The sequence below is a fragment of the Homo sapiens genome, chromosome 2 (genome assembly GCF_000001405.40).
Source record: "Homo sapiens chromosome 2, GRCh38.p14 Primary Assembly".
Taxonomy (NCBI): Eukaryota; Metazoa; Chordata; class Mammalia; order Primates; family Hominidae; genus Homo; species Homo sapiens.
The window spans coordinates 180,915,788-180,928,340 of NC_000002.12; the positions used below are offsets into that span (position 1 = coordinate 180,915,788).

Here is a 12,553-nt window from a genome sequence, read left to right on the forward strand (position 1 = left end):
TCTACCCAGTCCTGCTTCCTGTCCTTCCTTTCCCATCTTACCCTCCAAAACTCATCTAAATAAGCATCTGCTCCCAGAAAACCCAACCTGAGACAGGGAGTTAAACTTCCCAACGTTTTTCTTTTTACAGTATTATTTAGAATAACAACAAAAAAGTATGCAAAAAAGACTAAATATCCAACTGTATTTGCAACATATATTTTTGAGCTTTCTCAGTTTAGATCTGAATTATATAGTTATAATGATTTTGGATTCAGTTTTTTGGTTGACATTATTTAACATACAATTCCTCAGAGCAACTTTGTCGAGATATTTCTCTTCTGCAATGCCCTTACAGTATTCTATAGTGGATTTCTTAACTGTCTCCAAATGTATGGCCTTACATTGTTTACTATTTTTTCACTCCTTGAAATAGTGTTATAATATTTATGTACAAATTGCTTTCTTTCCCTTTTGATTAATTCCTTCAACAATTGCCTTCCTAGAATTGAACCAGAGTCCGGTGAATATCAGCACTGGGACCAGTTAGCAGAGGAAAAGGAAAGAATAAAAGCGAAAAGAATGAAGAGTCATATGATTACCAACTTTTCCTTTTTCATATAAATTGAGTGTATATGGGTCTGGAACAACCTGAATTTCCATCAAGTCCTGGCTAACCTCATTATGTCCTATGAATATTTTTGACTAATCCCACTTTACATTAATCTGTATTGTGAATGTGGATATTGAATTATATTTCTTTGTAATCCCATTATCCAAAATCCAGTTCAGAGACTATTAGTTACCAATGTTCACTGTGAAGGAAAAAAAAAAAAAAAAAGCTCAGAGGATAAACATGTGATATGGTTTGGCTGTGTCCCCACCCAAATATCATCTTGAATTGTAGCTCCCATAATTCCCACGTGTTGTGGGAGGGACCCGGTGGGAGATAATTGTATCATGGGGGTGGTTCCCCCATACTATTCTCATAGTAGTGAATAAGTCTCACAAAATCTGATGGTTTTATGAGGGAAAACCCCTTTCACCTGGTTCTCATTCTCTTCTCTGGTCTGTCGTCATGTAAGACATGCCTTTCACCTTCTCCACCATGACTGTGAGGCCTCCCCAGCCACGTGGAACTGTGAGCCCATTAAACCTCTTTCACTTATAAATTACCCAGTCTCTGGTATATCTTTATCAGCAGCATGAAAACAGACTAGTACAACATGTTTGGAAATGATGTTCAGAATTAAATTTTCTTCTTGAAGAATAATAATGTACAGGAGTGTGTTGAAGATTTTGAGAATTCTCACAGCAAAGGAACTTGTTAATTTTTTTAATCCACCTACCTAATAGAATTAATATTTTAAGAGAAACAGCTTGTGAAACAATTATATATATGGTCCCATAAAAACTTTTAGAAAACAATTATTATACACACATATAAACACATATTACTTACTAGTAAAGATGTACCTATCTTCCTAGGAAGCTCTTTCATGGTATTTCATTAGTATCCCTTCCAGCACCTACCATCCATCCAGGCAAATTTTAGATGTTTTACAAAGGTTTATGAAATTGCATTAAACACCTGTTAAAAATCACTTTGTTCATTGCAAGACATTTATATACTGTAGTTTTAAAGAAAGATAACAGCTGAGGGGAGCTACAGGAAAAAGAAAAGCATAGAACTTATGTTGAATTATTTTTCTTGTGCATATGAAGTTGCTCTGTGAGAACAAGAGCACTCAGCAGACGTATAGATCCACTATCTTTTCACATGGCAATATGTTCATCCTTTCAGACAATTTGAGCAAGTTTGGAACATAAAATAATACAAAGAGGCTAAAATGCAAAGCAAAAAAAAAAAAATGAAAATGATTGGCACAAAATAATGGAGCAATTGTAAGAGATGTTACATGTGTAAACTTAAACCAGGACATAAACCGTTGAAGTTCACCGTTTAAGGAAGCATCCAAATATATAATAGTCCTGCTAAATGCTTGGAGTAGCAAATTTCTATCACATGCATCCACATGCACATCTTACATTAAAATCCCGTGACAATAGTGTTAACATCTTGTCATTTTAGCCTTGAATGTCAAAGGCTCATGGGATCTACTCCATGACTCACATAACCTGTATATCTAGAAACAGGTGTTTTAAACTCTACATCTGGTGATAAATATTAAAGATAGAAGATGAGAGTTCTAAAACAGTCTACTTATTTCATTTCCACTTGGCTTTGCCACCATTACCTAAACTATTACAGATTGAGCTCCACAGACTACTCAGAATTCTCCTCCTGTCTTGAAATTCCAAATGCAATTTTCCCAGGATTTTTAGAAATTTATGAAATTATTAGCCAAAAATATTATATTTCAAGATTAAGCCCTCATCCTACAGTTTAGAAAACCAAGAGCCAGCTGAAAATACTTGCTCAAATTCAGAGAATGAATGTTGTCTAAATTAGTTCAAAAACAAGTGACTCATTGAAGATAAAGTAGTGTGGTGATTAAAAGCATGTACTTTGAAAAAAAAAAAAGTGACTCTTGGCTTGTAATACAATTTTTTCACTGCATTATTCTAAGGAAATTTGTTAGTAGAGCTGAAATAATACAGCATTAGGGTTAAAAAGTACAAGTTTCAAAGTTACAAAGACCAAGGTAGCGAAAGGCAAATTACTCAACCTCTCTAAACATGGTTTATTCATTAGTAAAAGAAGAACAAGAATATTATTTATGACATAGTATTAAGAGTTTTAAACAATGTAGAATACTGAAAGTGCCAAAAAACTATTGTCATTATTACATATGTAAGTAAAATTTATTTTCTGCATATCATTGTATTAGTCTGTTTTCATACTGCTACAAGGAACTACCCAAGCAGGTAATTTGTAAAGAAAAGAGGTTTAATTGACACACAGTTCAGCATGGCTCGGGGGGCGGGGGGGCCCTCAGGAAACTTACAATCATGATGGAAGGCAAAGGGGGAGCAAGGCACCTTCTTCACGAGGCGGCAGGAAGGAGAAATGCTGAGTGAAAGGGGAAGAGCCCCTTATAAAACCATCAGATCTAGTGAGAACTCACTATCATGAGAACCGCATGGAAGAAACTGCTTCTGTGATTCAGTTATCTCCACTTGGTCTCTCCCTTGACACACGACGAATTACAATTCAAGATGACTTTTGGGTGGAGACACAAAGCCTAACCATATCAATCACCATACCTTTCAAAAACTACAAATAGTTTTCATTACATTTGGAGGTCAGTCTCATGTAAATTATAATGAGGTATCATATTCAAAATCCACTTTGATCTCTGCTTCTAAGAGGACGGAGTGGACATAATTTCCGTATTCCTCCCAATGGGCACAACTAAAAACTCTGGAAATGATATATAAAACAAATGTAAGAAGACTCTAAAGCATGGAAAGAAAAAGGCAGGCGAGCTTGGGAAATTGGAATTCAATGAACTACACAGTGCTGAGTTCCCTGAGTTTTCATCTTGCCTCACATATCATCTCAGACTGGGCACTAAAGACATCAACAACCCGAAAATACTAAAACGCTAATGGACACAAACACCAAAACACACACATACACACACAAATAAAAACCCAAGAGAAGCCTGCTTTCTCTTGCCAATGGACCAGAAAAGAAGCAGCATAGGAAGACAGAAAACATTTAGACAATAACCACTTTACTCTAGCCAAACACTATGTAAAATACTGCATGCCTACCCCTAGAAGCAAAGGCAGAGGGGAGAGTCCAGTCTTTGGACTCTTGCCAGGCTGCCAGGAGGTGCTGCAAGCCCTACCTACCTCCAGAGTGGTGTCAGAGAAGGCAGAGTGGAAAGCTGAGACCATCATCCCTATCAGGTGGTAAAGAGGATCCCCTTCAGGGTGTCAGGGGAGTCCATGGGAAGAGGGATAGGGACTTGGATTTCCACCCTACCCAGAGGCACCAAGGCACCCACACTCCTCTCACTGAGGTGCTGTCAGAGGAGGTCTAATGGAGAGTCGGTACTTTAATGTGGCTCAGTGGTAACAAGCTCGACCCCAAAAGTGCTAGTAGAGGCCATGTGGGAAGCTGTAAGAAGACATCCCTCCCCTCCCAGCCAGGGTGGTATCAACAGATACCTAATGGGGAACTGAGTTTTGACCAAAGTGCAAAAGCAATTCAATGGAGGAACAAACTTTTCAATAAATGGTGCTGAAGCAATTGGATACCTATAGGCAAAAAAATAAAAATAAAAAAAAATTAGACCTCAAACGTTTAACAAAAATTAACTCAAAATAAATAGTATATTTAATATAAAATGTAAACTACAAAACTTACAAAATAACATTGGAGAAAATTTTCAGGACCTAGGACTTGGTGAAGAAAATGTAGATGTGACACCAAAAGCACAATCCATACGAGTAAAAAATCAATAAATTGGATCTACTTTTGCTCTGTGAAAGATCCTGTTTAAGAGAATGAAAAGACAAGCTATAGAGTGGGAGAAAATATTTGCAAATATCAGTGAGATTTCTTAAAATTGAACAGTTAAAAACAAATAACCCAATTAGAAAATGGGCCTTCCCCACCCCCAAAAAACCCATGAAGAGACATTTCAGACATGTAAGCAAATGAAAAAATGTTCAAAGTCACTAGCTATTAGGGAAATGCAAATAAAGACCATGAGGAGACATCACTACATACCTTTCAACATGCTGACATAAAAAAAACGGTGACAACACCAGATGCTAGCAAGGATACAGAGAAACTTGATGTCTCATACATTGCCAGTGGGAATACAAAATGGTTAAGCCACTGTGGAAAACAGTTTGGCTGTTTCTTAAAGTAATTAAACATATGCTTACCATACAACCCAGAAATTGTACTCCAGGGCATTTATCCCAGAGAAATGAAACATTATTGTAGCAGTTTTTTGTTGTTGTTGTTATAGCCAAAACCTGGAATACAGCAATAAAAAGGAATAAACTATTAATACACACCATGATTTGGATGGATTTCAAAGTCATTACAATAAGTGAAAAAAAATCTCAGAGGACACATTTATATGTGAGCTCATTTATACAACATTCTTGAAATGATAAAATTACAGAGACAGGAAAAAAAAATTATGTTTCCCATGAGTTAGGGATGGTATAGGCGAGGAAATTGAGTGCAGCTATAAAGGGGTAATTTGAGGGAGATCTTTGTGGTAAAGGAATAGTTCTGTATCTTGATTGTACTGATGATATAGACTGATGAATCTACACATATGATAAAATGACATGGAATCATATATACTCATTGTCTAATTTCTGTCTTTGATGCTGTATTATAGTTATATAAGATGTATCCATTGATGGAAACTGAGAGAAGAGTACGTGGGTTGTCTCTGTGCTACTTTTGCAACTTCCTGTGAATCTACAATTATTTTAAAATAAAATTTTTCTTTTTTTATTATACTTTAAGTTCTAGGGTACATGTGCACAATGTGCAGGTTTGTTACATATGTATACATGTGCCATGTTGCTGTGCTGCACCCATTAAGTCGTCATTTACATTAAGTATATCTCCTAATGCTATCCCTCTCCCCTCCCCCCACCCCACAACAGGCCCCACTGTGTGATGTTCCCCTTCCTGCGTCCAAGTGTTCTCATTGTTCAATTCCCACCTATGAGTGAGAACATGCGGTGTTTGGTTTTTTGTCCTTGCGATAGTTTGCTGAGAATGATGGTTTCCAGCTTCATCCATGTCCCTACAAAGGACATGAACTCATCCCTTTTCGTGGCTGCATAGTATTCCGTGGTGTATATGTGCCACATTTTCTTAATCCAGTCTATCATTGTTGGACATTTGGTTTGGTTCCAAGTCTTTGCTATTGTGAATAGTGCCGCAATAAACAAACTTGTGCATGTGCCTTTATAGCAGCATGATTTATAAACTTTTGGGTATATACCCAGTAAAAAAAAATTTCACTTTGAGGACATTCCTGGGGAGCAACAAGAGGTTTGTATAACTACCTGTTAAAAGAAAACAACATGCAGCACAAAAGATGTTTGGCTACTGATTGAAGAAAAATGTTATACTTTTTTTTTGTGGCAGAGAAAACAATCCATTCATTCCAATATGAGTTCCCACTAGATTTCATGGTTTTCAAACCCTGACTACAGATTAGAACAAAGTGGGGAGCTTTAAAAATGTTCAACTTCTGGCTCTACCTCCGTGGATGCTCCCTTCATTGGCCTTGGATGATCATAATTATTCTAGATGATTCTAAGTGTACTCTGAACTGAGGAATGCCATATTTCACTAAGGAACATGACATTAGTTCCGTGTCTGAAATTTGACACTATTGCTGAGTCCTCTAAAGGAGTAAACCCAAACGTTTATGTTATTCTATTAGTGAGGTTATGTTAAGGCCAGTTACTGAGCCACCTGAACCTCCTAAATGTTAATTAATGAAGCGATATACCTTACCCAGGCAGTTTAAAAATAACGTAGGTAATTTTCAACTAGCTATGTTTACAAAGAAATCAATATTTTATTCTTTGGACATCACCAATTATCTCAAATGATCTTTTTACTTTTTTAGTGGTATTAATAAGGGGCAAGAAAAACATACTCTAAATTTCAGACATTAATTTGTGATGAACTGCTTCTGAAAGAGGTAGTTCTACATGGAGTGAACCAAGGTAAATAGCAGCAGGGATCTTTTCATATTACTCAGGATAAAAGAATGACAAATGTGTTCTATAAAGAGGATTTGACACAAATTTAAAACTTTAAAAACATTACGCTTTATATTAATTACTACAGTTATGAAAGAGTATCAGAATTACATATTAATATTTGTAGTTTCCATTAAACTTTATTTAACAACAGTTAATGATGCTCTTGAGCAATGCTAGACATTATAGTTAATATATAATTGAGCTTCAGAGCAGAATACTGGAAACAGAATGGAAGCTGAAGACAGAGGGCTTTGGTACACATCCCTGCTACCCCACTTACTGGTTATTTGACCTTGGATGAATTATTTATTAGTTTCTCACCTGTAAATTTGAAATAATAATATTCTTAGAAATGAATGAAATCATATGAAAAACACTTTAAGCATTTTGTCATTGTCATAAGTGTTCCCATCTTCAAAAAAGTTTTTAATTGTTAACTGCCTGTTTATAGGTCTATGAAATTTTTAAAAAGTTGTAGCCTATATAAATAGAGCACGTTGTCTATGATCAAAACAACTATATGGTGATAATCAGCAGTTAATTAAGGAAGATTGTTTCCAGATACCAAATTACTTGGCCATATTTGCTTTCATTGATGAAACTTATTAACCATAACTCATTGGAAGTGGCCAGCTCCCTTGGCATCTAGAGTCATGTGGCATGAAAATATTGTATGTCATTTACAGTTTTCCATTTATAAGTCTATCAGATATATTTCATTTCTGTATCTAGCCTTTCTGTTAAACAGTGCTTTAGCTGTGGTGGTGCCAATATTTTAAGCTTCAGATTTTGAAGCAGAAGATTCCTAATAGTGTACATATGGCTGTAAATATTCCACACCCTGAAGCAACGCAGAGGACCACAGGGATATCTGGAAGAATTTCAAAATGTCTGTAGCATGCAATAGTAGTTAGAGAGTATATACATGATGTTAAATAGTATGAGAATGAATGACATATAAATAGTTTTTAAACATCATAAATATATTATAAGGCAATTCTAAATAATAAATTTAAAATAACTCTAGGTAAGTAATTTATTAGAATAATTGAATAATAATAATTTAAGAACTAGCTAAGCCAAATGCTGAAAATCACAAGTAATAATTTCATCGGGACAATTTCAGTATTACCTGTAAAATTCAGTATTACCTGTAAAATTATAACATTAACAAAAATATTTTTGACATAATTTATGGAGGTTGCCTTCTTTCACATATTTAGATATGTAACTTTATGTTTCTCTTTCAAACATACTAATTTTATCTCTAGTAAAATTATTAAAATTAACAAGATTTAAAATACAAACATAAACCTGGTGATTCCTCAAGGTTCATAATTTTCTATATTGCAGCTTAGCTTTTCTCAAATTGATATATCTGCCTAAAAGTATACCTATAGGTTGTATACCTATGCAACCTATCGGGTTGTCCTTATGTGTGCAAGTAACAGGCAATGTGATTTTACTGGCTTGTTTTGTTTATTTATAGTACCTCTCCCACCCAAACAGAAGTGCAATGTCTTACTATAAATAGCTACATCATAACATACAAAACATTAATCAAGGAAACTGAGATCAAGGAAAAAATGAATATAGAAAAAATAAGATGTAACCTAAAGTAAGGTTAGAATGCATATGGCTCAGTGTGCTTGCCAGAGAATGGCTACAAATTTAGCTCTAAGGAAAAAAACATGATCAGTTTACGATATACAGTGTCCATATGCTCAGTAGGTGTGGTTATTTCTGGTGCTGAGATCTATGAGACATCTCTCCCGGGCATGGTCATAAAGTGGGCCCTCTCTGATGTAGTTAACAGCCATCAATAACAATAACATCTCCAGAGGTTATGTCTCCTAGGCCTTTTCATATAACATCTCTCTAAGCTGACTAATGCTATAGCATCAAAGTTCAGGAAAAGTAATTCTGCAGGAGCCAAACCATACAGAAGAGGGACCCAGGTCCCTAAAGAGCAAGAAATAGCCAGATTTGAGCCCCAGCCAATAGATAATGGCAAGGTGACCCCATCTTAATCCACAGACAATTTTAAAGTTAACTGGAGGAAAGAGTGACCAACATAGTTAAATGTCAAACTATCATTTATTTTCAGATAAATTAGAATAAGGGCAGAGGTTCCTTTAAACCTTTTATGCTGCATAATTTCTTCATTATTATTATTATTATTTACTATTTTTTTTTTTTGAGACAGAGTCTCGCTCTGTCGCCCAGGCTGGAGTGCAGTGGTGCGATCTCAGCTCACTGCAACCTCCACCTCCCGGGTTTAAGCAATTCTCTTCCTCAGTCTTCTGAGTAGCTGGGCTTACAGACACATGCCACCACACCTGGCTATTTTTATTTTTGTATTTTTAGTAGAGACAGGGTTTCACCATATTGGCCAGGCTGGTCTTGAACTCCTGACCTCGTGATCCACCTGCCTCGCCCTCCCAAAGTGCTGGGATTACAGGCCTGAGTCACTGCACCCGGCCTCATTATTTTAGCATATAGTGGAGGCTGTGATCATAGATCTTAGAAATAATCAAAAGAAAAAGAAAAACTATTGATGGGTAGTCAAATTTTAAAAATAAAATGGAAGGTTTGGGTAATGAAAATGAAATGACTCATTTACTATTAGTATATTGGTATTGAGATATTTATGTTAAATTTCATGCCAAGAATAAGAGAAGAAAAGCCAATGAATACAAATTAAATTTTACACTAGCACTGAAAGATATGAATGTCCAAAAATAAATGGAAAGGCCCACATTTCTTTTAACTGGACTTTCGAGATACAAAGCCAAATTATCTAAAAAAGAGAAATGGATATTTATAAACACATACTAAAATGTCTATATATGGACTACCAGTGATAATTACTTTGCACCTATTCCCCTCAGCACCCAACTTGTCTTAGCCTATTTCTATTATCAGAACCTGAAAGCTGATTGGAAAGTGGAAGAAAGACCTGGATCAATTTGTATAATCTACTTGCCTAATATTGTGAATAGATTCTAGGAGGTCTTTAGGTATTACCTTGATAACCAGATATTTCCTTTCAGAAACTTACTGCCAAAAAGATCAAGACTTCAGTATTAGCCAAACAAAGAATTACAAAGAAAAATTAGGCTACAGGTAAATCTCAAGATTAATTCATGTCAAACCAATTAAATCAGATGCCAGTAGTATCCAAGAAAAATCACTGAGGCATATAATGGACTTGGCTTAAAATTTAAGAAAAAGAGTGAGAAAATTCTCTTTGCTTTTGGCTGAGACAGAATGGAAGAAGGTTGAAGACTGAGATAGAAAATGGAAGATAAAGAGAGTTCAAGAGGAGGTAGGTAAAGCAGGAAAAAGCAGAGATGAAAGATGACTTCCTATCAGCTTTCCTCGTAGGTGCCAGCTACCAATTGGCCTTTACTCTCTGAAAGTGCTTGTGAGCTTTGAACTGGCTAATGTGCCCAGACTTTGCAGAACAAGGTGATAAAGGCATATTTGCGGACTGAGAAAAGGAATGAGCATAATATACAAGGGGGAAATTTTCAAGATCACTAGAGATAGAGACACAAAAATACACCTTAATGTACAGAAACAAACAGCTCCCCAATTTAAAAATAACTGAACCAGTGAATAAAAACAGATGTGGAGAGGTAGCTCCCACACAGGCAGACAGAGAGGAGGAGCTCAAGAAAGAGAAGAGGATAATGAGTTAGAGAAGGCTGTGGTGTTGGAGGAAAAGAAGGGTCAGAAGGAGGAAAACAGCCAAAAATGTACTTACTGGAATAGCCACTGTAGAGCCTGACTATTTAAGATGCCAAGTTTCTGGCAAGACTCCCTTCTTTGCCAGCCTTTAGCTAAGTAGGAATAGAGTAGAAATCCACATGGCAAATTTAAGTATTGGAGGACGGAGATGAGTGGGTTCTGTAGTCTTGCTATAATACTGTTGATTTTAGGATATGTTTTATTATAGGGAAGAATCATCTATGTGATGGCTAATACTGAGTGTCAACTTGACTGGATTGAAGGATGCAAAGTATTGATCCTGGGTGTGTCCGTGAGGGTGTTGAAAAGGAGATTAACATTTCAGTCAGTGGGCTGGGGAAGGCAGACCCACCCTTAATCTGGTGGGCACAATCTAATCAGCTGCATTCGAATATAAAGCAGGCAGGAAAAAAAAAAAAAAAAAACATGAAAAGGTGAGACTGAGACTGGCCTAGCTTCCCAGCCTACATCTTTCTCCCGTGTTGGATGCTTCCTGCCCTCGAACATTGGACTCCAAGTTCTTCAGTTTTGGGACTCCAACTGGCTCTCCTTGCTTCGCAAGCTTGCAGACAGCCTATTGTGGGACCTTGTGATCGTGTAAGTTAATACTTAACAAACTCCCCTTTATATATATAAAGATATTATATATATATTATATATATATAATATATATATATATAAAATATATATATATATATCCTATTAGTTCTTTCCCTCTAGGGAACGCTGACTAATACAATCTAGGACCCTATCTGGAGATATTAATGAAATACAAAAAACACCTCATCTATAACATCATCATTTATAAGGCAATCCCATAAGTGGATCCTGAAGACATCTTCATAATTACGTTCTAGGGTATATGTGAATTGAAATTCCCAGGAAACAGGACTCTTCTCATAAAAGATGTACCTCTGTAGATAAATTCCAGAAACGTTACTGGATACTTCCTGTATGTGGGGATACACAAGGGTGTGAGGTGACCAAAGGAGTTTTCCTTTTTCTTGTAGCTGGTGACTAAGGGAATTTTCCTTTTTCTTGTAGATCATACACTTGCTTGAAGTGACAACTGAAGAACAACCACACATAAACAAGTGCAAAATAATGAGGCTAAAAATGGGAAGACTGTAAAAGAAAAGTAGTCACTTAGACCTACTTCCATTCATAGCAAAGACAGAAAACATTCAAGGAATAGAGTAATTTGGTGGGGGCAAGGTAAATCATTGACTACAGTTAAATTTGAATCATGTCTTGAATTGCTGGTCTGTTGGGAAAGTGACTGACAGGTCCTTCATTAAGGAACTCCATGAGCAAAGGTACAAAGGGAAGAATGTAAAATATGTATATAAGGGACAGTGATCAAGAGGTGGTAGAAAAGATGTTTAAAGGAAAAGAAAAATGACCTTGGACAGCGATGAAATAAGGGAAAGAGATTGAAAAATAAACTTATGAGCCAAGAAAGTGATGTGATGAAAACAATATTTAAATTTTTCCCCTGTGGCTTTTTATAGTTTTACAGACACCCAGGATTTCTAGAGACAGGTGCCTGCTTAAAAGTGGGGAAGCAACATTTGTAAGATGCTTTGGTGGTTTCTCTACTATTTGTTTCACACTGAACAAACAGCAGTGAATATAATGCAGATATTTTGAAATAGGTGTGTGTGTGTGTGTGTGTGTGTGTGTGTGTGTGTGTGTGTAAGTGTTGTTGTTGTTGCTGCATTGCTGTTGTTGTTTGGGGAAGAGTATTACATCCAGTAAGTTACCTCTGGAAGAAACAATGACCACTTCCATCATTGTAAATGCGGAATGAAATCTGTTTACTCGTTACTTTTTATTGAGACCTTTATTTCATATGCAACAAGACAATTTGGAGAGTAGGGATTTTCTAAATCCATTGTTTTAGATTATCAAAGGAACACTCTAGGGCTACTGTGATACCTCCACTACTAATTGGTTTTGTTTAGTCATATTTCTAAAATCTATAATTTCAAAATAATTTGGTAAGATACTTATCTTGAAGTTGGATCAGAGGAAGATACTGTCCTTAAATTATGGAATATATCATAAAAGGATGAACTTAATGCTCCATTCA

At 36.0% G+C, this 12,553-nt stretch overlaps 1 long non-coding RNA gene across 7 annotated transcripts in view; it reads left to right on the plus strand.

Annotated features, from left to right (window-relative positions):
* SCHLAP1 (SWI/SNF complex antagonist associated with prostate cancer 1) overlaps positions 1–1,152 on the plus strand; it is a 224,836-nt gene extending 223,684 nt beyond the window's left edge. For all 7 annotated transcript variants that reach the window (NR_104322.1, NR_104325.1, NR_104324.1 and 4 more), the window contains one exon: positions 486–1,152. This is a non-coding gene — a long non-coding RNA (SWI/SNF complex antagonist associated with prostate cancer 1). The remainder of the gene's footprint in view (positions 1–485) is intronic.
* The last annotated feature ends 11,401 nt before the right edge of the window (positions 1,153–12,553 follow it).